General features: G+C 45.7%; 2 protein-coding genes across 24 annotated transcripts in view, besides 2 other annotated features; both read left to right on the top strand.

Moving 5' to 3' along the window:
* INPP5B (inositol polyphosphate-5-phosphatase B) overlaps positions 1-14,852 on the top strand; it is an 86,361-nt gene extending 71,509 nt beyond the window's left edge. For 16 of the 20 annotated variants that reach the window (NR_158630.1, NR_158628.1, NR_158629.1 and 13 more), the window contains 7 exons: positions 1,394-1,556; positions 2,384-2,619; positions 6,935-7,048; positions 9,006-9,090; positions 9,661-9,788; positions 11,126-11,237; positions 13,119-14,852. Coding sequence is in view for 13 of the 20 variants with exons in the window: in NM_001365825.1 (NP_001352754.1) it covers positions 1,394-1,556; positions 2,384-2,619; positions 6,935-7,048; positions 9,006-9,090; positions 9,661-9,788; positions 11,126-11,237; positions 13,119-13,234 (954 nt within the window). In the remaining 7 variants the exon portion in view is untranslated. Of the gene's footprint in view, positions 1-1,393; positions 1,557-2,383; positions 2,620-5,534; positions 5,625-5,648; positions 6,065-6,934; positions 7,049-8,786; positions 8,884-9,005; positions 9,091-9,660; positions 9,789-11,125; positions 11,238-13,118 lie in introns of those variants that run through there. The other 4 variants (XR_946643.3, XR_007059978.1, XM_017001206.2 and 1 more) reach the window with 3 other exon arrangements.
* Positions 9,061-10,260: an enhancer, noted in NCBI's record as "MED14-independent group 3 enhancer chr1:38330961-38332160 (GRCh37/hg19 assembly coordinates)". NCBI's record gives its function as "activates an origin of replication core promoter dependent on BRD2, BRD4, P300/CBP and CDK7 cofactors, and independent of MED14, by STARR-seq in HCT116 cells {active_cell/tissue: HCT116}" and the evidence as "EXISTENCE:reporter gene assay evidence [ECO:0000049][PMID:35650434]".
* Positions 15,691-16,020: a silencer, noted in NCBI's record as "silent region_682". NCBI's record gives its function as "represses an Ori minimal core promoter by ATAC-STARR-seq in GM12878 lymphoblastoid cells {active_cell/tissue: GM12878}" and the evidence as "EXISTENCE:reporter gene assay evidence [ECO:0000049][PMID:35858748]".
* MTF1 (metal regulatory transcription factor 1) overlaps positions 15,957-27,391 on the top strand; it is a 50,019-nt gene continuing 38,584 nt past the window's right edge. For 2 of the 4 annotated variants that reach the window (NM_005955.3, XM_011541493.4), the window contains exons 1-2: positions 15,957-16,018; positions 17,840-18,298. In NM_005955.3, the coding sequence (NP_005946.2) occupies positions 17,891-18,298 (408 nt within the window). In that variant the 5' untranslated portion in view covers positions 15,957-16,018; positions 17,840-17,890. Of the gene's footprint in view, positions 17,062-17,839; positions 18,299-27,391 lie in introns of all 4 variants that reach the window. The other 2 variants (XM_047421170.1, XM_011541491.3) reach the window with 2 other exon arrangements.

Raw genomic sequence — 27,391 nt, 5'->3', positions numbered from 1 at the left:
CGCCTGTAATCCCAGCACTTTGGGAGGCCAAGGTGGGCAGGTCATGAGGTCAGGAGATCAAGACCATCCTGGCTAACACGGTGAAACCCTGTCTCTACTAAAAATACAAAAAATTAGCCGGGCGTGGTGGTCGGCACCTGTAGTCCCAACTACTCGGGAGGCTGAGACAGGAGAATGACGTGAACCTGGGAGGTGGAGCTTGCAGTGAGCCGAGATCGCGCCACTGCACTCTAGCCTGGGCGACCAAGTGAGACTCCATCTCAAAAAAAAAAGATTAGTGTTGGGCTCTTCTATTCCTAGAGCTTAAATCTCCTCATCTATTGGAGCTCAGAGTTCTAGGAGGCACCTATAGCACTATGGACTGTGGTCTTTCTTGATAGACTGCTTTTCGATAAAGTGAGGCTGATGGTGTTAGCTGAGAAGAGAGAGGTTGTTGGCTTAGGTCATCATGTCCTATTCTTCTAAACCAGAATATGGTTCAAAATGTGTTTTGATTTTAGAATAACTATTGTGTATTCTTGCAATGGATTTTTCTTCTTACTGATGCTTTGCTTTGAGATTAAATTGAGTTTGGATACCCATGAGTTAATGGGAGGGAAGACAGTATAGAAAAGGAATAGGTAATATAGGAAGTTGAATATGGTCTGAAGGTTTTTCATGGAAGAGCCACATGGAAGATCACTCACACTTGACATTCTACAAAGTCAAATTGGGGTTTAAGGTGAAGGCGTTTTTTGTTTGGTTTGTTTGTTTTAAACAGAGTCTTACTCTGTCACCCAGGCTGGAGTGCAATGGCACGATCTCGGCTCACTGCAACCTCCGCCTCCTAGGTTCAAGCAATTCTCCTGTCTCCGCCTCCCAGTAGCTGGGATTACAGGCTGTGCCACCATGCCTGGCTAATTTTTGTATTTTTAGTAGAGATGGGGTTTTGCCATGTTGGCCAGGCTGGTCTTGAACTCCTGAGCTCAAGTGATCTGCCCGTCTCGGCCTCCCAAACTGCTAGGATTATGGGCCTGAGCCACTGTGGCAGCCGCAGATGGCATTTTTAATGCCCTAGATGTCCAGCTACTTGGAAGGATGGGCTTGATCTTCATGTTTAGAAGTGGAATTTGTGAAGGGTATTTTGTAAATGGTTTTTGGGTATAGAAGATATAAACTTTGACTTCTTCAGGAAGTAGACATACAAAAACAAACGGAATTTTTGGATTTTGGGTTAAACACAGATAACTAGTCTTTAGTGGGAACTGTGGCCTCCCAGGTAGATACTTAAAGCAGAAACATTTAAAAGAGATGGTTCATTTTCTTTCCATGGTAAGGACTGCCCAGTTGGGGTGGCTGGGCAGGTTGCTGAGGAAAGGGCACTGGTTTTCACTGGCCCCGGGCTTCTTCCCAGTTCTGTTTTCAGAATGTGAAGTACATGCAATTGAAAGTAGAATCCTTTACAATTCATAATGGACAAGTACCCTGTCATTTTGAATTCATCAACAAGCCTGATGAAGAGTCTTACTGTAAGCAGTGGCTGAATGCCAACCCCAGCAGAGGCTTCCTCCTGCCAGGTAAGGCCTCTGTTCCTAGCTTCCTGGTATCTGGTTTGGGGAATGCCTTACTCTATATTTGCTCATTTTCCTAAAATGAGCTTTTTGCTTGAGTGTTTTATTCTCTGCTTGAGGCTTTTTAAAAAGCCCTATAGATGAACCCATTCATGAATAAAATAGAAAATAGTGAGGAGCATGAGTTCAGTTTCAAAAGCATTCTCAGTCATTTATGTGTTCCATAATTTCACAGAAAGAGAAAACATAAAATTGCTGTATAGCAGGTGCTGCTGTTAAAGGAACCATTTTACTATCTTGCTATAATCAACTCCCAATTATCTGCTCTTGATAATGGGGAAGTAATCCAGAAATTATATCTGGCTCTGGAATGTACCATCCACATTTTTCCCGACTTCTCCTTCGCACTCTGCATGGTACTCTGTGATGGAACAATGAAGGGTGTTTTGTGGACAATTCACAGGCCGATAATTGCGTTACACTTCTACTGAGTCAGTCATCTTCATCTTACCTGGCTCAGGGAAGGCTCTTTGATCCATGCCTTCTTATTCTGTTAGTATTTCTAGCTTGAGCTGTGCTCCTTAGTGCTTGAATTTTATAGCATTTGTCTATTCAAATGTTTTTGTTTGTTGTTTTCATATTCCCAGTTGGACTATAAACTCTTTGTTCTTGTGTCTCCTGCATGCCAAGCACATTTGGATGCTTGTTGGTTGGCTGATACCTTTTCTTTCCTTTTCCTAACCCTTTATGCCTTACCCTCTTCCCTCCTGCCTTCTTTCCCCTTTCCTCTTGGCCTGCCCCCGGCCAACATTATTTTTAAAATTTCTCTGCAGATTCTGATGTTGAGATTGACTTGGAGCTCTTCGTAAATAAGATGACAGCTACAAAGCTCAACTCGGGTGAAGACAAAATTGAGGACATTCTGGTTCTGCACTTGGACAGGGGAAAGGATTACTTTTTGTCTGTGTCTGGGAACTACCTGCCCAGCTGTTTTGGGTCTCCCATTCATACACTGTGTTACATGAGAGAGCCAATCTTGGACCTACCACTTGAAACCATTAGTGAGCTGGTGAGTAATATGCCACAAAGAAACATCTAGAACTTTGTAGCAGACAAGCCAGTCAAACAAGATATTCCTATGCCTACCTTCCTAGGGACTTAGAAACTCTTCAGCTTCCTAGAGCTTGCTTAGTGTATCAGCTGTATATTGCTGTGCTACAAACCATCCTGAAATTTTAGTAGTTTTTAACACCGAGTTATTGCTCCTCATGATTCTGTGGGTTTCCCATGTGGGTCTTCTGCTTGTCTCACCTAGCCCCATTTGTGTGGTTATAATCAGATGGCAGCTGTGATGGCCGGAGGGCTCCAGATGGCCTCTCTCACATGTCTTGGTGTTAGCTTTTCTCTGGGTTTCACTCACCACATGGACTCATCATTCAGAAGGCTAGCTCAGTCTTCTGTAGGTAGTGGCAAGAACATGAGAGAAGAACTGTAAGGCCTTTTGTAGCATAGGCTCCAAAATGCATACAAGGCCACTTCTGCCATGTTTTATTGGTAGAGCAAGTTGTGAAGCCAGACTAGATTCTACAAGTGGAGAAAGACTCCACTTCTTTTTTTTTTTTTTTTTTGAGACGGAGTTTCACTCTTGTTGCCCAGGCTGGAGTGCAATGACGTGATCTTGGCTCACCGTAACCTCTGCCTCCCGGGTTCAAGCGATTCTTCTGCCTCAGCCTCCTGAGTAGCTGGGACTACAGGCATGCGCCACCACGCCTGGCTAATATTTTGTGTGTTTTTAGTAGAGACAGGGTTTCTCCACGTTGGTCAGACAGGTCTGGAACTCCCAACCTCAGGTGATCCGCCCATCTCGGCCTCCCAAAGTGCTGGGATTACAGGCATGAGCCACCGCGCCTGGCTTTTTTTTTTTTTTTTTTTTTTGAGATGGAGTCTCACTCTGTTGTCCAGGCTGGAGTGCGGTGGCTCAATCTCAGCTTACTGCACCCTCCACCTCCTGGGCTCAAGTGATTCTCCTGCCTCTGCCACCCTAGTAGCTGGGACTACAGGCATGCACACCACCACACCCAGCTAATTTTTTTTTTTTTTTTTGAAACAGAGTCTCACTCAGCTACCCAGGTTGGAATGCAGTGGCACATCTTGGCTCACTGCAACCACCGTCTCCCAGGTTCAATCAATTCTCCCATCTCAGCCTCCCAAGTAGCTGAGATTACAGGCACCCGCCATCATGCTAATTTTGGTATTTTAGTAGAGACGGGATTTCACCATGTTGGCCAGGCTGGTCTTGAACTCCTGACCTCAGGTGATCCGCCCACCTCAGCCTCCCAAAGTGCTAGGATTACAGGCGTGAGCCACTGCACCCAGCCAATTTTTGTATTTTTAATAGAGAGGGAGTTTCACCATGTCGGCCGGGCTGGTCTTGAACTCCTGACCTCACGTGATCTGCCCGCCTCAGCTTTCCAAAGTGTTGGGATTGCAGGTGTAAGCCACCACGCCTGGCCTTTTTTGTTTTGTTTTGTTTTCTTTTGTGAGTCGGCGTCTCACTCTGTCCACCAGGCTGGAGTGCAGTGGCACGATCGTGGCTTACTGCAACCTCTGCCTCCCAGGTTCAAACGATTCTCCTGCCTCAGCCTCCCAAGTAGCTGGCATTACAGGTGCCCGCCACCATACCCGGCTAATTTTTGTATTTTCTATAGAGACGGGGTTTTGCCATGTTGGCCAGGCTGGTCTCAAACTCCTGACCTCAGGTGATCTGCCCGCCCCAGCTTCCCAAAGTGTTGGGATTACAAGCATGAGCCACTGCGCCCGGCCTTTTTTTTTTTTTTTTTTTTGAGACAGTCTTACTCTGTCACCCAGGCTGGAGTGCAGTGGCACGATCTGGGCTCACTGCAACCTCTGCCGTCCAGGTTGCAAGCGATTCTTGTGCCTCAGCCTCCCCAGTAGCTGGGACTACAAGTGCATGCCACCATGCCCAGCTAATTTTTTTATATTTTTAGTAGAGACGGGGTTTCGCCATGTTGGCCAGGCCGGTCTCGAACTCCTGACCTCAGCTGATCCACCCACCTCGGCCTCACCAAGTGTTGGGATTACAGGCATGAGCCACCATGCCCTGCCTAACTCCACTTCTTGATAGGAAAGAAAAGCTGCAAAATGCTGTGACCACGTTTTTCAGTAGTTCACTTATAGTATGTATCTTTGTTTGGGCTGCTTTAACAGTATCCCATAGACTGGGTGGTTTATCAACAACAGAAATTTATTTCTTACAGTTCTGGAGACTGAGAAGTCCAAGATCAAGGCACTGCCAGCTTTGGTGTCTGGTGAGGGCCTACCTCCTGATTCATAGAGGGCCATCTTCTTACTGTGTTCTTACATGGCAGAAGAGGGGAGGGAGGTCTCTGAGGTGTCTTGTTTAGGGCCACTAATCCCATTCATCAGGGCAGAGCCCTTATGACCTAACCATCTCCCAAAGGCCCTACCTCCTAGTACCATCACATGAGGGATTAGGTTTCAACGTACATATTTGAGGGGGACATACACATTCAGTTTGTAGCAGTACATTAGAGAAACTCAGCCATGGGTTGGGCACAGTGACTCACAATTGTAATCCTTGCACTCTGGGAGGCCAAGGCAGGATAAATGTTTTAGGCCAGGACTTTGAGACCAGCCTGCTCAACGTAATGAGACTCCATCTCTACAAAAAAATTAAGAAATGAGCTGGGTATGGGGGTGTGCATTTGTAGTCCTAGCTACTTGGGAAGCCAAGGTGGGAGGGAGCCTGGGAGTTCAAGTCTGCAGTACCTGAGCGATAGCGCAAGACAGTCTCTAAAAAAAAAAAGAAGACAAACTCAGCCATGAATTCTAAAATAATGAAAGTTCCATAGTCAATGATATTATTCTTTTGTTTTTTTTTAAATCATCATCGGTAGGTCAATGATATTATTCTTTTGTTTTTTTTTAAATCATCATCGGTAGGTTATCATCCTAAACTAAATTTGCTGCCATCTAAAAGATTCCTATGGAGACAATTCTAATACAAGGGAACTAATTTGGAGCAGACCTATGGTAATATGTATGCTTTTTTTCCAGTGCATTTTTAAATTTAGGGAGTCTTGAACTCCCTCTTCTTCATCATATAGATGAAAACAGGGGCCCAATCAAGGAGAGTGATTTGTCACAGGTCATATGGTGAGTTAACAGTGGACCTGGAGGCTGGGTGCAGTGGTTCACGCCTGTAATCCCAGAACTTTGGGAGGCTGAGGCGGGTGGATCACAAGGTCAGAAGTTTGAGACCAGCCTGGCCAAGATGGTGAAACCCCCCGTCTCTACTAAAAATAAAAAAATTAGCTGGGTGCAGTGGTGGGCGCCTGTATTCCCAGCTGCTCGGGAGGCTGAGGCAGGAGAATCGCTTGAACCCAGGAGGCGGAGGTTGCAGTGAGCCGAGATCGCACCACTGCACTGAGCCTGGGCGACAGAGCAAGACTCCATCTCGAATAAATAAATAAGTAAATAAATAAATAAATAAATAAAAACAGTGGACCTGGAGGCTTGGTATGGTGGCTCACGCCTGTAATCTCAGCCCTTTGGGAGGCTGAGATGGGTAGATCACTTGAGTCCAAGTGTTCAAGACCAGCCTGGGCAGCATAGCGAGACCCCACCTCAAAATTTAAAAAAAAAATCAATTAAAAAAAAAATCGGGCCGGGCACGGTGGCTCACGCCTGTAATCCTAGCACTTTGGGAGGCCGAGGTGGGTGGATTGCTTGAGCTCAGGAGTTCGAGACCAGCCTGGGCAACATGGTGAAACCCCATCTCTACTAAAATACAAAAAATTAGCCGGGCGTGATGGCACACGCCTGTAATCCCAGCTACTAGGGAGGCTGAGACAGGAGAATTGCTTGAACCTGGGAGGTGGAGGTTGTAGTGAGCCGAGATCGTGCCATTGCACTCCAGCCTGGGTGACAGAGTGAGACTCCGTCTCAAAAAAATAAAAATAAAAAAAAATAAAAGAAAATCAAAACAGTGGACCTGGGCCTTGAACTCAGATTTTTGGACTCCCAAGTCTGTGCTGTTTCCTCACCAGACCGCAACTTCTCTCTGGTTCTAATAGTGAAATGCTATAGGAATGATTTTTTCCTGAAAAGATGGTGCATATTTGACCTGATTCATTGAAACTGCTTGTCATAACCCTCTCCTGATTCTCAAAAATTACCTTTTGTTCCTTGATCATACCACCTGATTTCATTTCTGTCTGTGGAATGCGTGGTTAGGGGCAGTGGAATGTTTTCCTTTTTCTGTGGGTTTGCTGTCCCCATGCCATGCATTTTCCTGGAGCCAGCCTGGCAGAAGTTCTGTCATGATCTTGATTGCTTTCCAGACTCTGATGCCAGTATGGACTGGAGATGATGGGAGCCAGTTGGATAGCCCCATGGAAATCCCCAAAGAGCTCTGGATGATGGTTGATTACCTGTACCGAAATGCTGTCCAGCAGGTAGGTTGTGTTTAAGCATTCAGACCTGATTGAGGCCAGGCTGCCTTGAGGACCATCAGCCCCAAGAACTTTTTTCATAAGGAAACTGTGGAGAACTGTTCTTCACCCAGGGAGGGGAGGAAGGATAGATAGTATGCCATGTTTCACACTCCTGGGAGACCCTGCTATTTTTTTTTTTTTTTTTTTTTGAGACAGAGTTTTATTCTGTTGCCCAGGCTGGAGTGCAATGGTGCGATCTTGACTCACTGCAACCTCCGCCTCCTGGGTTCAAGTGATTCTCCCGCCTCAGTCTCCCAGGTAGCTGGGATTACAGGCACCTGCCATCATGCCTGGCTAATTTTTGTATTTTTGTAGAGATGGGTCTTGCAACTTCTGACCTCAGGTGATCCGCCCACCTTGGCCTCCCAAAGTGCTGGGATGACAGGCATGAGCCACCGCGCTCTGCCAGAGGCCCTGCTATTACGTGTAGTACCTGATTACCCCCAAGGGAAGCAGCGTTGCATAGGAAGCCCATCCCAGCACAGCATAGCATGTTCCTTCCCATGGCCTCTGGGGTCCCCCTGCCAGAAAGCTGCCTGGAGGCCTCTCAGGATGTCATCGCTCTCCTTCAGGAACTCTCACCAGCTTCTGGGAATGGGTGGGGCCAACTTGTTGATAAACCAAGCAGAGGCAGGGGATCAGATGCAACCCCTGGGCCACAAATTTGGAGGCCTGATTTCTAGAGTGACTAGGGCAGCCTTCACTAATCAGATTGGTTAGTTTCACTGACCTGTTTATATAGGTTTCAGGGAGACCTATACAAACTACAAGCCCACTTTACCACTTCAGAGCAACATCCTTTTTTTAAAAAAATATACATTCTTATGATATTCCATTTTCACTTTTCTTCCCCTCACATTTATTGAAAGTTGCAGTGTACCAAGCACTATTCTAAGTGTTTTTTACAGCATTGCCTCTAGTTTTCACAGTAGTTCTCAGATGAGGAAACAGATGCCTGGAAAGGTGAATAACTTGGTTAAGGTCCCAAAGCTGATAAATGGGCAGAGGTGGAATTTGAATACAGTGAATCTGGCTAGAGAAGTCATATTCTTCAGTGCTGTACTATTCTACCTTCTCTGTAGCACTCCTTTCAAATGGAACTTTTGAGCAATACATATAATATTGTTATTATTAATACAGTTATATGGTATTAAGTCATTTTGTAAAACAAATGAACATAAAGTATCCTGAGACTAATAGAAATAGCTTTGCTGCCATAATCTGTTTTTATTGAGATGGAGTCTCGCTCTGTCACCAAGCTGGGGTGCAGTTCACCATCTTGGCTCACTGCAACCTCCGCCTCCCCGGCTCTAGCAATTCTCCTGCCTCAGCCTCCTGAGTAGCTGAGATTACAGGCATGTACCACCAAGCCCAGCTAATTTTTGTATTTTTATTAAAGACGGGGTTTCACCGTGTTGGCCAGGATGGTCTCAATCTCCTGACCTCGTGATCCACCCGCCTCTGCCTCCCAAAGTTCTGGGATTACAGGCATAAGCCAACACGCCTGATGGCTGCCATAATTTTATTTGCCCAAAGCATTGAGGTGCCTTGTTAGCGTTCTCTTATGCTCTTATGCACTGTATATTTTCTTCATTTTTTTTCCCCTGGGTAATCCCTCTATACCACTGCAGGACACATAGCTGCTTTTACATTTTCTCCAATGTTGGATCTTCTTGTGTGATGTGTGCCCTACCCATAGTTTTATAATAGATGCCTGAAGACCTATTGTAGAAACATGCCAGGGAAGGCCTGCAAGATGAATTCGCCACATCAGCCTAAATCAGATCATCTGTCAGGTGATTCAGAGGCCTCACCACACTGCTCCTTTTTGCATTCTGCTATTGATATTGCCAGGTCAGGAAATCATTGATGATTTTCTGAGAAAATAATTATTTTGTTACTGTCTTCCCTTTTGCAGGAAGATCTGTTTCAGCAACCAGGCCTGAGGTCAGAATTTGAACATATCAGGGACTGCTTGGATACTGGAATGATTGATAACCTCTGTATCCTTCAGACATTCAGCTCTGTGTGTGTGTGTGTGTGTGTGTGTGTGTGAGAGAGAGAGAGAGAGAGAGAATATGAGTGAGAGGGGTGAGAAAAAGTAAAGTATTTTATGGCTCAAAATCTGATATTGTATCCTCAGCTACCATGTTTTACTTAAAGTTTGCATAGAGAAGACTTTACAACTTTATTTATTTATTTTTTGAGACAGGGTCCATCTCTATCACCCAGGCTGGAGCCTGTGGAGCCTCCCACCTCAGCCTCCCGAGTAGCTGGGACCACAGGTGCATACTACCACACTTGGCTAATTTTTGAACTTTTCGTAGAGGCAGGGTTTCGCCATGTTGCCCAGGCTAAGAATTTACAACTTTAAGCAACCAATAGAGCAGGAACTCAGGAGGGCCTGGCTCACCTGACAAACAGTGTGGTCCCTTCGAGAAGTTAGGCTGGCATCCTAGCCCTGAGCAGAGAGCCTGACAGGGCAGGCAGCACTTCTGGCATGTGCTTGCTCCTGGGCCTTTTCCTAACCATGGACAGCAGCATTATCGGTTCCTTAACAATGGGGCCAAAAGCTGCCAGCAATCATTCTGTAGCCGAAGCCCTGCTGCTTTTCCTGGAGAGCCTTCCAGAGCCTGTCATCTGTTACAGCACCTACCATAACTGCTTGGAGTGTTCTGGCAACTACACAGCAAGCAAACAGGTGAGAGGAAGCATTGAGCAGCATGTGGTTAGCCCCAGACCCCATGGGGCTAAGGGAACAGAGTGGACACAGTTCCTCAAGTGCAGCATCTCAGAAACTGAACACCTTATCTTTCCTTCTCAAACCTGCTCTTTCTCTTATGTCTTTGTTTCTTTTAATGGCATCACCCTTAATTCCAGTGAGTCAACCCCGAAACCTGAGTCATTTCTGACTCCACCCTCTCCTTGCCTCCCATGTGCCCAGTCTCGTTGATCTATCACCCATCCTCTCTCTTCCATTCTCATTGCACTTAGCTTGGTTCAGTGCCCTGCATTCACGATCTCCTTCTGCTGATTTGTTTTGCATGCTGCCATCAGATTGTGTATTCTAAAGCTATTGTCATGTGACTGTTGGTCAAAAACTATACTTGGCTCTCTATTGCCAATTACTGATTTTCTTAAATATTGAAGACGTTCTATGATCTAGCTTGGTGGTTCACACATACAACAGGCCTTGGCAGAATAATCTAGAAAACTTGCCAATAATAGAGATTCTAAAGCCACACCCCAAATCTACTGAATCACACTTTTTTTTTTTTTGAGATGGAGTCTTGCTGTGTCACCCAGGCTGGAGTGCATTGGCGCGATCTCAGCTCACTGTAATGCCTCCCAGGTTCAAGCGATTCTCCTGCCCCAGCCTCCTGAGTAGCTGGGATTACAGGCGTGCACCACCATGCCTGGCTAATTTTTGTATTTTTAGTAGAGATGGGGTTTCACCATGTTGGCCAGGTTGGTCTTGAACTACTGACCTCAGGTGATCCACCCTCTTCGGCCTCCCAAAGTGCTGGGATTACAGGCATGAGCCACTGAGCCCATAATCACTTTTGGAATCTATTCAAACTTCCAAACTGATTCTGATATGCAGATAGCTGGAGTACTCATTGATCAGGGCCTGATCAACCCTTCTAATTATGCTCCTGCCAAAATTGACTTCTCATAAAGTGTTCTCTCTACTTACTTCACTATTTCCCTTCTCCTGCCCTTTTTTTATACTTTCTTTGCTCTCACCCCAGTTATTAACCTCTGTAAGTCCCATTTTGTCTTACATTCAAGACCCAACTAAAATGTCTTATTTCTTTCAGTCTTATAGGAACATGTAGTTAAAAGTTTGACTTCTAAATTCATGTTGCATTTGACCCGTACCTCTCTTTTGATACTTATGCCAAGTGGTAAGCAACCAGTTTTCTGTGCACAGTCTTTCTCGTGCACTTGGATCGTGTATACAGTTCTTGGACTATAGTAGGCACTTGAGAAATGATTCAGTGAACAAAAGACAAATCCCGGTTCTTCCTCTTTCAGGTCATTTCTACTCTCCCCATATTCCACAAAAATGTCTTCCACTACTTGATGGCGTTTTTGCGAGAACTGCTGAAAAATTCAGCAAAAAATCATTTGGATGAGAATATTCTAGGTAAGCAGCCAAATGTCTATGGAAAGCATTTCTGCAAACTGAGAGACTCGTAATGAGAAATGAGGTTGAGGAGGGTCCCAGGTCCCTTGCAGTAGAACTAAAATATCAAGCTCTGGGCAAAGATTTTTTAAAGCAGAAAGTTTTGCGTTTGGACACTCCTCCCCACTCCTAACAACACAAGAGTAAGTATAGTCATGGGCTGGGGGCGGTGGCTCACACCTGTAGTCCTAGCACTTTGTGAGGCTCAGGTGGACGGATCACCTGAGGTCAGGAGTTCAAGACCAGCCTGGCCAACATGGTGAAACCCCATCTCTACTAAAAATACAAAAATTAGCTGAGTGTGGTGGTGCATGCCTGTAATCCCAGCTAAACGGGAGGCTGAGTTAGGAGAATCGCTTGAAACTGGGAGGCGGAGGCTGCAGTGACCCGAGACCGCACCACTGCACTCCAGCCTGGGCGACAGAGTGAGACTCCATCTCAAAAAAAAAAAAAAAAGTATAGTCATGTACCATATAACATCTTGGTCAACGAAAGACCACATATACGATGGAGGGCCCATAAGATTATAATACCGTGGTTTTGTGCGTGTGTGTTTGTGTGTGCATGTGTGTGTGTGTGTGTGCTTGAGAAAGTCTCACTCTGTCACCCAGGCTGGAGTGCAGTGGTGTGATCTCAGCTCACTGCAACCTCTGCCTCCTGGGTTCAAGTGATTCTTGTGCCTCGGCCTCCTGAGTAGCTGGGATTATAGGCGCTTGCCACTATGCCCAGCTTTTTAATTTAATTTAATTTAATTTTTTAGAGATGGAGTCTCGCTCTGTCGCCAGGCTGGAGTGCAGTGGCGTGATCTCAGCTCACTGCATCCTCCGCCACCCGGGTTCAAGCAATTCTCCTGCCTCAGCCTCCCGAGTAGCTGGGACTACAGGCGCGCACCACCATGCCCAGCTAATTTTTGTATTTTTATTAGAGACAGGGTTTTACCATGTTGGCCAGGATGGTCTCAATCTCTTGACCTCGTGATTCCACCCGCCTCGGCCTCCCAAAGTGCTGGGATTACAGGCCTGAGCCACCGCACCCTGCCTTTTTTTTTTTTTTTTTTTTAAAGGGCAGTGACCCTCCCCACTGCAGGATGGGAGAGGGCTGGGAGCCAGTGGGAGCCAGATGGTCACCCAGGCCCTCACAGCCAACCCTTGGACAGGGGCCACCGGGCCACACCCTCCAACGCCCGTGCCTCAACCATCCCTACCACGCTCATGGAACCTCATCGCATCCTGGGGACGAGCCCCCACTGGGGACACGGGGTGGTTGGGGGAGGAGGCAGGAACCAGAGAGGCAGGACACCAAGCAGGGCTGCCTCCCCCACAACCCCCCAACCTCAGCCACCTCTGACACAGCACCATTCCCCTTGGAAAGCCCACTGGCAGGGACAGGCTAATTTTTGTTATTTTTAGTAGAGATGGGGTTTTACCATGTTGGCCTAGCTGGTCTTGAACTCCTGGCCTCTAGTGATCTGCCCGCTTTGGCTTCCCAAAGTGCTGGGATTATAGGTGTGAGCCACCACACCCAGCTCATAATACCGTATTTTTGATGTGCCTTTCCTATGTTTAGATATATTTGGATGCACAAATACTTAGCACTGTGTTACAATTGCCTGTAGTATTCAGTATAGTAACATGCTGTACAGGAGCTTAGGAGCAATAGACTATACCATCTAGAATTGTGTAAGTACAGGTTTGTGAAAGTTTAAGTACACGCTATGATGTTTGCACAATGATGAAATCACCTAATGACACATTTCTCAGAACATATCCCTGTCGTTAAGTGATGTGTGTCTTTAGTACCTTCTTTTGCTGAATCATTTCTTTTCTGTGTTTTTTCTTGCAGCTAGCATATTTGGCAGCTTATTGCTTCGAAACCCAGCTGGTCACCAAAAGCTTGATATGACAGAGAAGAAGAAGGCTCAAGAATTTATTCACCAGTTCCTCTGCAACCCACTCTGAGCCTCTCTCTCCTCCTATTTTACTTGAGGCTGCCAATTACCAGCCCCACCTGTTTCAGCTCAAGAGATGCCTTAAGATAATTATGTGAGGCCACTTGGTAGCAAGAATGGCAGCTATTTCCTGAGCCTAGTACCCCAATTAAGCCCACCATTGGTTAGCACACTCAGCGCTGTGAGTCGTGAAGACACGGGAGAAAATCCACCATAATAAAACTGACATTCAATTTTCAACTTTAGTTATTTAACACAGATTTTTTTATTTTTTATTTTTTTTTATTTTGAGACGGAGTTTTGCTCTGTCGCGCAGGGTGGAGTGCGGTGGCACGATCTCGGCTCACTGCAACCTCTGCCTCCTGGGTGCAAGCAATTATCCTGCCTCAGCCTCCCGAGTAGCTGGGACTGCAGGCACACACTGCCACGCCCAGCTAATTTTTTGCATTTTAGTAGAGACGGGGTTTCACCGTGTTGCCCAGGCTGTTCTAAAACTCCTGAACTCAGGTAATCTGCCTGCCTCGGCCTCCCCAAGTGCTAGGATTACAGATGTGAGCCACCACGCCCGGCCTTTTTTTTTTTTTTTTCTTTTTTGAGATGGAGTTTCACTCTTGTTGCCCAGGCTGGAGTGCGTTGGCGTGGTCTTGGCTCACTGCAACCTCTGCCTCCTTGGTTCAAGCAATTCTCCTGCCTCAGCCTCTCGAGTAGCTGGGATTATAGGCGTCCGCCACCATGCCTGGCTAATTTTTTTGTGTGTTTTTAGTATAGACACGGTTTCACCATGTTGGCCAGGCTGGTCTCGAATGCCTGGCCTCAGGTGATCCACCTGCCTTGGCCTCCCAAAGTGCTGGGATTACAGGCATGAACCACCACGCCTGGCCTAAAATGTTTTTAAATAACTGTACTTGTACTCACTCACCCTACCTCCAGGGCATAGTCAGTCTGGGCTGAGATCCCCATGATCAGATATTTGATGGAAAGTCCTGAAAGGCCAATGAGTTGGATGGCAAGAATGCAGGCAGAAGCTGCTGGATAAAATAGGCTACAGCCACCTCAGATGCTTTCAGTGCTCTGTCTGAGGATGTGTATATGCATATGCAAACTCGACCCCCGTTCCTGCCCAGATAATGGCTCAATAACTCTGAGGCTGGTTGCTCAGCCTCTGAGGGCAATACAGGCATTTAAAAAATTAAAATGACCAGGCACAGTGGCTCACGCCTGTAATCTCGGCACTTTGGGAGACTGAGGTGGGAGCATCACTTGAGACCAGGAGTTTGGGACCAGGCTGGGCAACACAGGGAGACCCCCTCTCTACAAAAACATTTTTAAAAAATTAGCTGGGTGTGGTGATGCATGCCTGTGGTCCCAGTTACTTGGGAGGCTGACGTGGGTGGCTCACTTGAGCACAGGAGTTTGAGGCTGCAGTGACCTATGACCACATCACTGTACGCCAGCCCGGGTGAGAGAGGGAGACCCCGTCTCTAAAAATAAAATGTAAAATCACTGAAAAAATGAGTGTTCGGTGAAACAAGTGGGATTTTCTGGGCCAGCAAGTCTTCCAAACTGTATATGATGCATCCTGTCTCCATGTGTAATATATTTTAATGATAAATGTATTTTTAACAGTGGCGGTTGTGTATGTTTTTATGTCTTAAGAGATGGCAGTTCGCTGCAGCTGGATTTTGTGGCTCAAGCCTTGGGGCCAAAGAGACATATTCCTGGCAGTCTGGTGGGTACCAGTCACTATTCACATACTTCCAGCAAGAAATGGTTATGGCACTGACCTGAACCCCTTGACCCCTGGTCTGGTCTTTGGAGTTGTCCCACTCTGAATATTCGAGAGAAGCAGCTTATGGTTAAAACAGGCAGTGGCAGCTGGGAGGATCTAACAGCTAGATCCTCCAGGCATTTGGAAAGGACAGGGGCATAACGAAGGCAGAATCGCTTCCTGGGTACGAATGCCCACTACTTCTGGGCACTGTGAAATGGGTTTAAGACGCGGGCCAGCAGGACAATGTGAACGGTGAAAGGAAGGGAGTGGCCGGTAGGTGGCGCTAACTGGCCCGGGCATGAGTCCCGCCGTAGCCGCGTCCTCTTGCAGGGGAAGAAAGTTGGGACCGCCAGCCTGGGCAAGCGCGTGAGAAGGGAGCTGGGGGTCCTAGGCAAGCGCGTGAGAAGGGGAAGAGGCGGCGGCGTCCTCTCCAGCTGGGCTTAGAATACTCTTAGTTCTGCCTTTGGGGTCTTGTCTTCCTTTCTGGGCCTCCTGCCTGTGTTAACTTTGATGGGTGCTGAAGGGAAGGCCGGGGTCCCGGCAGGAGAAACCCGGGAACGTCGCGGCCGTCCAGGCTCCCCTGGCGGGTTGGAGCCAGGGTTCTGACTGCCAACTGTGGTCCTTCCCGCTGCGGCTGTGGCTGCCAGGGCGAGGGCGGTCAGCGCAAACCTGGCTGAGGACATTTCGGATTCTTCCTTGGGGATTCGTTCCCTTCTCCTTGACTCCGGTGCCGCGAGGGCGACACCCTCCGGGCCCCGCGTGGCCACCCCGGGCGCTTCCCCACGCGGATGAACCCACCTCCTGGGCGCCTTCCCCTCGGTGCCCCGCTCGCCAATTGGAGGCTGCAGCTCAGCCCCCTGACAACCTGAGCCAACCAGAGGCGCCAGGGAGGGGCGGATCCTCTGTCCCCACCTTCCTCCGGAAAGAGGAAGCGGAAGTGACGTTAGGGGAAGGTGGGGGCAATCATGGTGCCGCTGGGGAGGGGAGAAGCTGCTGCTGCCGCCGTTGCCGGGAGCCGCGGAGGTAAAAGGCGAAACTAGACTCGGCCTGGGCTTGGGACTTACCGGGAGGCGCGGGACTTAGGCTCCCTCCTGAAGCATTTCCCAATAGAGACCTCAGTTTGGTCACCATAGGGACCCCACCCCTTCTCCGTTTCCATGGGGATGGGTATCCAGCCCCCCTTCCCTGTTTCCATGGAGACCCGGACCCTGCCCCTCTCCTCCTTGCTTGGAGACCCCCAGCTTGTCTTCGGATTTTTCTGTGTAGCCCTGTGCTGGGGGCTATCCCAGACAGGTTCCTTTTCCCAGCCTCCTCTCAAGGGGGCTCTGTTCGCACTCCTCGTTGGCTACCCTCAAACCTCCTGGTCTTGTTTGTTTCGGACAGTTGGTCTCCGCGTTGCCGCCGAGGGTGCCGGGGCAGCCCACTGGGGCCCTCGGTGCTCTTCTCTCTCTGCTCAGATGCAGCGAAATGTACATCTGTGGGGTTGCGTAAGCCAGAGCTAGGGGTCGGGCCGGTACCTCCCGGATCCAATCCTTTGGCCTGTCTCTGGTAACTGTCTAGCCATCCCACTAAGTAAAGGCTCACTTTCTAACCCAGAGCAGAAGAGAAAGATAAAGCGCAAAGCCAGACTGAAAACTAAAAGGGATGTGCTGATTATTTTAAAATTCTCTATTCTGCCTGCCAAACCCACATTTGTAGAGCCTGTGTTTGCAGATGAAGGAAGAATCACTATTCCAGAACATGAAAGCTTCAAATGTGGTATTTTTCTCAAGAGAATGTATCTTCCCAAGATAGTATATCTTCACGAGAGAGTAGGTAGCCATGTCTTTCAGTCATTTAGCTGACATTTCCTGAACTCTTATCATAGTATCAGTGTACTATGCTAGGAGCTGTAGAAACAAAAATAATAAGACTCAATTGATTCAGGGACGAGAGCCCACCACAGAACCATAACTTCTTGTTGACACCATATTGTTTTAGGACATAAATAGATACAGTGATCTTCGTTGTTTGTGCCTGATTGAGGAATAGCCCTTCCACCCAGAAGGTTGAAACATCTGTTCTAGGTAGGGGGGAAGGAATTCATACTTGTTCCTCTACTATTTACCAAACATTGTGCTTTACATATGTTGCCTCTTTTATTTCTTATAAAAACTTTGAGAGAACAGGAATTACTGGTCCCACCTTGCACGTAAGAAAAATGAGGCACAGAAAAGTTACCCATGTAGTAAAAGGCAAAGACAGGATTTGTAGGTAGATGACTCTGCCTCCAAAGCCTTGCTCCTTCTACCATAAACTGCATGAAACCATTTACTGCCTCGTGGTCTGATTTGGAGGATATTTGAATGGATGGAGTTTCCCTTAAGATTTGTAGCAACTCAGCCTTTCAGCAGCTGCTGTTCTGTTTGCTCTTTTGTCCCCTTTAAATATTTTGACCAAGTTTCAAATTGTTTGACAGGCGTATTCAGAAGGTCTTATGAACTTATTCAGTTTTTGAAAAGCATTGCTTTTCTTTCTTTTTCTTTTTTTTTTTTTTTTATTAGAGATGGGGGTCTCACTATGTTGACCAGGCTGATCTCAAACTCCTGGCCTCAAGCGATCCTCCCATCTTAGCCTCCCAAAGTGTTGGGATTACAGGTGTGAGCCACCACGCCCAGTCGGCATTGCTTTTCTTTAAAAATGACTTGATGGTTTTAAAGTTAAAATAAAAAAATTATTCCCAAGGATGGTTTTTCATTTGCTTTGGCTTGCTCTTTAAGTGAGAGGGAAAATGAGCCTTGTGGTTGCTGAGGAGGTCCGTCGGTCTTGTGGTATGACTCTAACTCTGGCTTTGTTCTGTTGCAGACAAGTCATTACGTTTTCATTTCTCACAACTGGGCTGAGCACAACTGAACCATGGGGGAACACAGTCCAGACAACAACATCATCTACTTTGAGGCAGAGGAAGATGAGCTGACCCCCGATGATAAAATGCTCAGGTTTGTGGATAAAAACGGACTGGTGCCTTCCTCATCTGGAACTGTTTATGATAGGACCACTGTTCTTATTGAGCAGGACCCTGGCACTTTGGAGGATGAAGATGACGACGGACAGTGCGGAGAACACTTGCCTTTTCTAGTAGGGGGTGAAGAGGGCTTTCACCTGATAGATCATGAAGCAATGTCCCAGGGTTATGTGCAGCACATTATCTCACCAGATCAGATTCATTTGACAATAAACCCTGGTTCCACACCCATGCCAAGAAATATTGAAGGTGCAACCCTCACTCTGCAGTCGGAATGTCCGGAAACAAAACGTAAAGAAGTAAGTAAAGCAGTCAGTGAGGGCCTAGTTTGGTTTTGGGGCAAGTCCTTACAAAATTCTTGGTGCAAATTTTAGCTGGGGAGTAAAGGAGTGCATGGGGTTAGGACTTAAGTAGTTTTGCTATCAACAACATATGCCTCAGGTTTTGTTGTGATTGCTTCTGGAACTTTTGGTTTGTATAGCCACATTGAAATTTGGGAATATCAAATTGTAATTTCTCGAATTTCCTTCCCCAAATCATAAATAAAACAGAAATTTCACTTAAGTAGACCCATGTTTCTGGTGCTAAAATAACTATTTAGCTTATCTACAGGGAAATAACTGGAGTTTGCTTATTTGATGAAGAAATAACTATATTTGGCTTATCTCCTGGTTGTGTTTAAATGATTTGTTTTAGAGATGAGTATCTGCTGGAATATGTTTTATTATCTTAGTGAATGTTTAATGAACTTTTATTTCACAGTGGCACACGCCTGTAATCCCAGCACTTTGGGAGGCTGAGGCGGGTGGATCATTTGAGGTCAGGAGTTCGAGAGCAGCCTGGCCAACATGGTGAAACCCTGTCTCTGCTAAAAATACAAAAATTAGCCAGGCTTGGTGGCACATGGCTGTAATCCCAGCTACTCAGGAGGCTGAGGCAGGAGAATCACTTGGACCCGGGAGGCAGAGGTTGCAGTGAGCCGAGATCATGCCACTGTACTCCAGCCTGGGCGATAGAGTGAGACTCCATCTAAAAAAAAAAAAAAAAAAAGAAAGAAATTCAGGCTGGGCACAGTGGCTCATGCCTGTAATCCTAACACTTTCTGTAATCCCAGCACTTTGGGAGGCCGAGGCAGGTGGATCACCTGAGGTTAAGAGCACCCTGGCCAACATGGTGAAACTCCATCTGTACTAAAAATAGAAAAATTAGCCAGGCATAGTGGCGGGTGCCTGTAATCCCAGCTATTTGGGAAGCTGAGGCAGGGGAATTACTTGAATCTGGGAGGTGGAGGTGGCAGGGAGCCAAGATCGTGCCACTGCACTCCAGGCTGGATGAGAGAGAGAGACTCAGTCTCAAAAAAAAAAAAAAAAAAAAAAAAAGGAAATTCAGGCAAGAGACAGTAAATGAGAGCAGGTTATCTAAAATAAGTTTTCATTTTCATGTTTAGCTAATGTGAGTAAGCTAATGCATGTCAGGATGTTTTGAAAACTGTAAAGCATTTTACAAATTATATTAGTGGTTATTATTAGCAGAATAAAAGTTCTGGTTTAAAGGTAGTGATATACATTATCTAGGAACTATTTTTTTTTTTGAGATGGAGTTTCACTCTTGTTGCCTAAGCTGGAGTGCAGTGGTGCGATCTTGGCTCACTGCAACCTCTGCCTCCTGGGTTCTAGCAATTCTCCTGCCTCAGCCTCCTGAGTAGCTGGGATTACAGGCACGCACCACCATGCCCAGCTAATTTTTTGAATTTTTAGTAGAAATGAGGTTTCACCATGTTAGCCAGGCTGGTCTCGAACTCTTGACCTCAGGTGATCCACCTGCCTTGGCCTTCCAAAGTGCTGGGATTACAGGCATGAACCACCATGCCCGGCCCATCCAGGAACTATTACAGGTCAATTAGAAAAAAATAAGTCACTAGTAGTTACAGTACCAAGGACTAAGATGTTACCAAACAGAAATAGGGTGAATGATTTAGCAAGGAATATCTTTTTTGCTGTGGTTGAGGTCTTAAAATTGCATATGGCTTATTGATGGCATATCACTTTTCCTTTGCTAGCCTTAGAGAGACCATCTTGTCCCACCTCCTACCCTATGCAGAAATCTCCCTATGGCATCCCTGACATCAGTTAATCTTGTTTCTGCTTGAAGACATCCAGAACAACAAGAGCAGAGTGTTTCATACCCCAACCCAATACATTTGTTAGCCAGCTCTGATTGTTAGAAAGCTTTTACTTGTATAGAACCAAAACCTGCCTTTCTGCAGGTGCTGCCCACTGGTTCTAGATCTGCCTTCCTGAGTAAACTTTCTCCCACAGAACAGTCCATCAGCTATTTGAAGATCATGGATTTTTCTTCCTCTTGTACAGGCTAACCACCTCCATTTACTTAAATGTCCCTCTGTGACATTTTCCCCAGTCTCTCATCAGCCTAGTCACCTTTGATTATATGAATTCCAGTTTTCCAAGGTCCTTTTTTTCTTCTTTTTTTGAGATGGAGTTTTGCTGTTGTTGCCCAGGCTGGAGTGCAGTGGCGTGATCCCGGCTCACTGCAACCTCCGCCTCCCAGGTTCAAGCGATTCTCCTGCCTCAGCCTCCCAAGTAGCTGGGATTACAGGCATGCGCTACCACACCCAGCTAATTTTGTATTTTTAGTAGAGACAGGGTTTCTCCATGTTGGTCAGGCTGATCTCGAACTCCTGACCTCAGGGGATATGCCTGCCTTGGCCTCCCAAAGTGCTGGGATTACAGGCATGAGCCACCGCGCCCGGCCCCAGAGTCCTTTTAAAATCTGCAGTTGAGCGCAGTCTCATAAGTGTGAGTCAACTAGCACTGAATACAGTATGGCTCTTATCTCTTAATCTGGACACTGTACTACAATTACTATATAGTCTACATTTTATCAGCAACATCTTACTGTTAGCTTATAGTTGGAAATTTCTAGAGTAGTGCTTCTTAACTGCGGGCAGCTTTGCCCTCAGGAGATGTTTGGCAATGTCTAGAAACATTTTGTATTGTCATACTGTGGAGGCGATACTGGAATCTAGTGGGTAGAGGTTAAAGACATTGTTAAATGTTTTACAGTGCACAGGACAGCCCCCTACAACAAAGAACTGGCCCAAAATAGTGATAGTGCTGGGATTGAGAAACCCTGCTCTAGATTATTCTCATGTATGCAGCTGTCAGATCTAACAAAAATGAAAATGGAGACCTGCATGTAAGCCTTATTAAGAATATCTCCCGGCTGGACATGGTGGCTCACGCCTGTAATCCCAACACTTTGGGAGGCCAAGGCTGGTGGATCACCTGAGGTCAGGAGTTCGAGACTAGCCTGGCCAACACAATGAAACCCTGTGTCTATTAAAAATACAAAAAATTAGCCGGGCGTGGTGGCAGACGCCTGTAATCCCAGCTACTCTGGAGACTGAGGCAGGGGAATTGCTTGAACCCGGGAGGTGGAGGTTGCAATGAGCCAAGATGGTGCCACTGCACTCCAGCCTGGGCAACAAGAGCAAAACTCCATCTCAAAAAATAAAAAATAAAAATATCTCCCTATGAAATTTTATCTTGTTGGTTTCAGTCCAATATTTGAGCTTGTAGGGGGGTTCATTTCAACTCAACAAACATTTATAAAGCAAAATGCTGTTATGCTCTGTGGATGTTGCAAATGATTGTGGTAGTCGATTTATAGCATAGAAGCAGAAATTGTTTACACCAATAATCATAGCAGCAAACACAGTGTGGTAAATGTGAAGGAGAGGTACAAATATTGCACTGTGAGCACAGGGAAGCTCACCCTTAATTCTGGGATCAGGGAAGTCTTTGTGAAAAAGGTGGCGTTTGAGCTGGTCTTAAAGAATACATACAATTTAGGAAAAAAGCAGGAGAAGGTTTTTCCAAGAGAGAGGAACAGCATGAAACAAGGAATGCAGGTGGGAAACAGGCCATTTTCAGGGAATAGCCAGTTGTCCTGTTACAACAGAGTCAGCACACTTTTTTCTGCTTAGGGCTAAATAGTAAATATTCTGGGCTTTGCAGGCTATAAGGTCTCTGTTGGAGCTACTCCATTCTTCCATTGTAGCACAAAAGCAGCCATAGACAATACATAAAGAATGAACATGGCCAAGTTCTGATAAGACTTTACAAAAACAGGCAGTGGGGTGGATTTGGTTCACTGGCTGTAGTGTGCTGACCCTTAGACTAGAACATAGTAGTAGAAGGAGATAAGGATGGAAAGATAGCAAAGATCCAAACATGGAAGGCAGTGGTAACCTTCTATGGGTTTTGAACTGTACTCTCCTAGAAATGGTGGGAAACCATTGGAGGTGTCTAAGCCAAGGCTAGAGTGGTTAGATAGAGAATGTGGTTAGAGTAGCATTTTAGAAGGATTGGTCTGGCAGCAGAGGTAGCTTGGAGGCAGAGGAAAACTGGAGACTTCTTGCCTAGTTAGGAGACAGTTGTAGTTTATGTTTGGGGTTTCATTTAAATCTGAAGAAAGGATAGTGGCCTTGTTCATGGGAAGAATCAAGGACTTTTGTAGAAGTACGAGAGAACTTCGTACGTGTTATTGGAGTTTGATGAATGAGCCATGAGTTGGGCATGATTCAAAGGTTTTGAATAGGCCAGGCACAGTGGCTCATGCCTGTAATCCCAGCACTTTCGGAGGCAGAGGCAGGTGGATCAGTTGAGGTCTGGAGCTCTAGACCAGCCTGGCCAACATGGTGAAACCCTGTCTCTACTAAAAATACAAAAATTAGCCGGTTGTGGTGGTGCATGCCTGTAGTCCCAGCCACTTGGGAGGCTGAGGCAGGAGAATCACTTGAACCCAGAGGGCGGAGGGTGCAGTGAGCCATGATTGTGCCACTGCATTCCAGCCTGGGCAACAAAATGAGAATCTGGTTGGAAAAAAAAAAAAGGTTTTGAATCATGTTGATTGAAAGGATTCATCCATTTTCCCAAATTTGTTGAGTTTCTGCTGTGTCTTAGCACAGCTTTTTGATGGAGCTCAAATCTAGGTGAAGAGTTAAGCAGTTAAGAGTCCGTTGTGGTAGATATTTTAACAGAGGTGTATTCGAAGTGCTGTGTGCATGCTGAGGAGAAAGTGGCTAACTCTGCTCTCCGCACCCTCCAAATGGTGATCCCATTCATAGGAATCAAGAAAGATGGGAAAAGGAAAAAGTTTTGATGGGGTAATTAAAGAGTTTGGTAGGAGTGTATTGAATGTATAGTCCTTGGAGAAAAGTAACATGAACAAATGGAAAGCTCATTGGAAACGTGTATCTGAGGTCAAAGAAATGGTTTGGAGTTAGAATAGTAGTAGAAAGGGGCCTTCAAACTGTGGGTAGTTTACTTAAGGGAGAAGTAAGAGTTGGCCTGAGAATTTAAGGGTTGGAAAGAGAAAGAGGAACCCAAGAAGATCACAGTAGTCAAAGAGATGGGTCGACTGCAGTGTTGTGGAAGCTGAAGGAAGAGAGTGTCAACAAATGAGAATATTCCTGTGTGACCCTGCAGAGGGATTGAGGAGCCCCGAAGAAGCCTTTAGTTGTGCTGGTTGTGCAGTTGTTCACATATCATGAGAAGACTTGCAGCAGAGCACTGGGGCTGAAGCCAGGTTTTGAGTGATGAAGAAGTGAGTGAGTGATGAGGAAACAGGAGGCAGGAAATGTCAAGTTGGCTTTTTTTTTTTTTTTTAAATAAGTTTGGTAGTTAGAGGAAGAAGAGTGATGAGGCAGTAGTAGCTAGCTCAAGGAGATTGAATCATTTTTGTTTAGCATAGGTAATTTGGACATAGTTTAGGACCTAAACTTTAGGCCATCCTCCATCAGTGATTACTGTGTGAAAGTGTTTCATGAGCGAATGTTCGGGAAACATTAAGTTAAACCAAGACAGAAATTTGTTGATTAGGACTTCTCAGAGCCTTTGATGTGCCAACAGCTAAGAAGGAAGAAAACACAGAATTTTTCAAATGCTTTAAACTTGAGAAACCATTTTTCAGATCTAATTTCCAGGGATCAGTGTTTTGTGGAACACATTTTGGGAAATGCTGATCTAGGCAGAAGAGGAGGAGATGGTACAGAGGGAATGATTATGCAATCAGTGAAAAGCTGTCACTTTTCCACTTTGTACTATTCAAATTGGTTTATTCTATTTGCAAGTCTGGTTTGCCATTCTTGTCTTCAGATCATTGATAATCATATTGAATAGCACAGGGTCAAGGATATTATGAGCACTTTGTTCAGTTTGCTGGGGATTTAGCTCACTCCACTTTCCTCTCACCCACATTTTTCCATGCTATCCATGAGACCTTTGTGGAAGATGCTATATTCTTGAAATCAGTAGGTTTGGGGTTGGGTGGAGATTGAAGGAGAAGTAGCAGTAGCTTTAGTCTTCGAAAATCTTGCTTAATGACCAGACATTCAGGAGGCTTGCCTTCCTGAAGCACTGTCTTAGCTTAGCTTTTGTTTTGGCAGTGATTTTATTTTGGCATTAAAATCCACTTATTTGGCCTGAAGAGGCTGATGTTTATGACTACTCGATAACAGACTTCATGATCCTTTAGCTCTTCCTTACTCCTTTTCCTTTCGTTTTTTTTCAGCTTGGTTTTTGGTTTTTTCTTTTCCCTCCATGCACAGGTGTTACTCTTGAGAAATCAAATCATTTGATAACTAGTTGGTCTTCTTGGCTTCCCAAGCAGCTTATTTTCTGAGTCACATTTTAGCCTGAATTTCCTGTTTACTCCTGGTTTTTTCATTGTTTCATATAGTGTGGAGTTGGCTTACCTATTACTTCATTTTCTTTTCTTCATGCTTGTCTTGCGCAAAAAATAAACCAACCAGAACCTTGCCACAGATAGTCTTTTCCTACCACAAGGCCGCTGGTCATTCTGACTCGAATTTCACGTATCTTATTCTCATACTTGTTATTTCATTACTGTCTCCCTACTGATTTGGTAGCTTTGAGATCTCTCTCTCTCTCTCTCTCTCTTTCTCTCTCCCTTTTTTTTCTCTTTCTCTCTCTCATTCCCTTCCTCCCTCCCTTCCTTCCTTCTTTTCCCTTTCTGTCTTTCTTCTTTCCTTTCTCTCTTGAAACAGGGTCTCACTGTGTCACACAGGTTGGAGTGATTACAGTGGTGGGATCGTAGCTCACTGTAACCTCAAACTCCTGGGCTCAAGCAATCCTCCTGCCTCGACCTCCCAAAGTGCTGGGATTATAGGCATGAGCCATGGCACTTGGCCAGCTTGCAAAATTTCTAATCAAAATATTTTCATTCTGCCTAAAAACAAAAGCTTTTTTTTTTTTTTTTTTTTTTTGGTTGAGACAGGGTTCCATTCTGTAGCCAGGCTGGAGTACAGTGGCACGATCATGGCTCACTGCAGCCTTAACCTCCCAGGCTCAAGCCGTCCTGCCACCTCAGCCTCCACAGTAGCTGGGACCACAGGCATGTGCTACTGTGCCGGCTACTTTTTGGTGGTTGTTTTGGTAGAGAGGGGTCTCACTATGGGCTGGTTCCAAAATCCTGGGCTCACGCAATCCTTCCACCTTGGCCTCCCAAAGTATTGTGATTACCGGCATGAGCCACCATGTCTGGCCCTTTAAGGCCTTTCTACTCCAAGTCTCGAAGCAGCTGCGTCTTGTTGTTTGTTTGTTTGTTTACGTATTTTATTTTATTTTTTTAAGACACTGGGTCTTGCTATGTTTGCCCAGGCCATCATCATAGCTCACTGTAACCTGGAACTTCTGGCCTCAACCAATTCTCCCTCCTTAGCCTCCTGAGCTGCTGGGATTAAAGGCATGAGCTACCACACCTGGCAACTGTGTTTTCTTTAGTTGGTTTGTGCAGTCCATTCTTGAATCTGTGCCCTTCCATAGAACCTGCCAGGACGGTCTAGTTACCTGTTCATCTACCTCTGTCTGCACTACATTGGTGACGTGATGTATCCTCCATGGCTAACTGACCTTGCCAGTTTTCTATAGAGTAGTTGGCCAAGGAGCATGAAAAAACCCTAGGAATCGTATGCAAAATTTATTCTACATGATGCACCAAAGTATTCCAGCACATTGATTAGGAAAGGTATCATTTTCTACCAACAAGCACAGTTACAGCAATTTTTTTTTTTTTTTAATTGAGGTGAAGGCTTGCTCTGTTGCCCAGGCTGGAGTACAGTGGCACGATCTTGGCTCACTGCAACCTCCGCCTCCAGGGTTCAAGAGATTCTCCTGTCTCAGCCTCCCGAGTAGCCAGGATTACAGGCATGTGCCACTAGGCCTGGCTAAATTTTGTATTTTTAGTAGAGATGGGGTTTCACCATATTGGTCAGGCTGGTCTTGAACTCCTGACCTCAGGTGATCCACCCGCCTTGGCCTCCCACAGTGCTGGGATTACAGGTGTGAGCTGCTGCGCCTGGCCTACAGCAATGTTTTTAGGCTGCTTGGTATATTGCTTCTAGACACACCATGAACTAATTGCATGGCCAGTGGCATTCCAAGAGGAGAGTTATTTCTTTTAGTGTGACAGATTTTAAGTATAACAGGAAAAATCTGACTCCAGTGTTTTGGAGCCTTTTTGCAATGTATGTCCTTTACTTTGGGAGACCTAGTTCCAATCTCATGCCTCATTATAAATTCCTCAGGCAGTGGAATGATCCACTCAGACAAACCAAGATGTTGTTGACTCTCCTAGAGGGGAACTACCGACTTTTTAGTCTTTGCATACTGTGATTACATTTCTTTGCAGGTTCCCTTCTGAACTCTGATGGCTTGTAAGTGTGAGGCTCTGTAGGAATCCAGAGCAAGAAGCATTTTCCATTTACCCCCATATGAAGCCATTTTATCAGTGTGTCTGCATGTGTATTATATACCTCTCCTTAGTAATCAGCATTTCCATCACTCAGGTCCACTGGCCTGGAAAAGGGACTAGACTGGTTTTGTGTACAATTGGGTTTCAAACTTGGTGCTATAGGAATTATAGGTCTCGATTTACATTTCACATAGGTTGTACATATTAAGTACTGCCAACATTTTGCTGTTATATGACATTGGCAAAAGAACCTGAATTTTATTTTTTTCTCCTCATATTTAAATCAGGCTTACTTGTTTCTTCTGTGATGTGCAAAGGGATAGTTTCAACCTAGGTTCCAGCTTTGTTCTGTTATGTACTAGCTATGTGGCCTTGGGCAAGCTGCTCTGTTTCCTTTTTTATAAAATTGAAATAGAAATATCCCATTGCATTTTGTGAAGATTAAATGAGATTTATTCATATGTAATATGTATAAAACATTTAGCATAGTGTCTGGTGCATCATGATTGTTCGCTGGATGTTCATTTGCTTTCTTTTCCTCATAGACCCCCATGGTTCTTGAAGGAGGTAAAGAGGTAATGTCCAGTTTAACAAGA

The sequence above is a fragment of the Homo sapiens genome, chromosome 1 (assembly GCF_000001405.40).
Source record: "Homo sapiens chromosome 1, GRCh38.p14 Primary Assembly".
Lineage (NCBI taxonomy): Eukaryota > Metazoa > Chordata > Mammalia > Primates > Hominidae > Homo > Homo sapiens.
The sequence above is the reverse complement of the archived record's forward strand: the minus strand, read 5'-3'. Positions and strand labels throughout refer to the sequence as shown.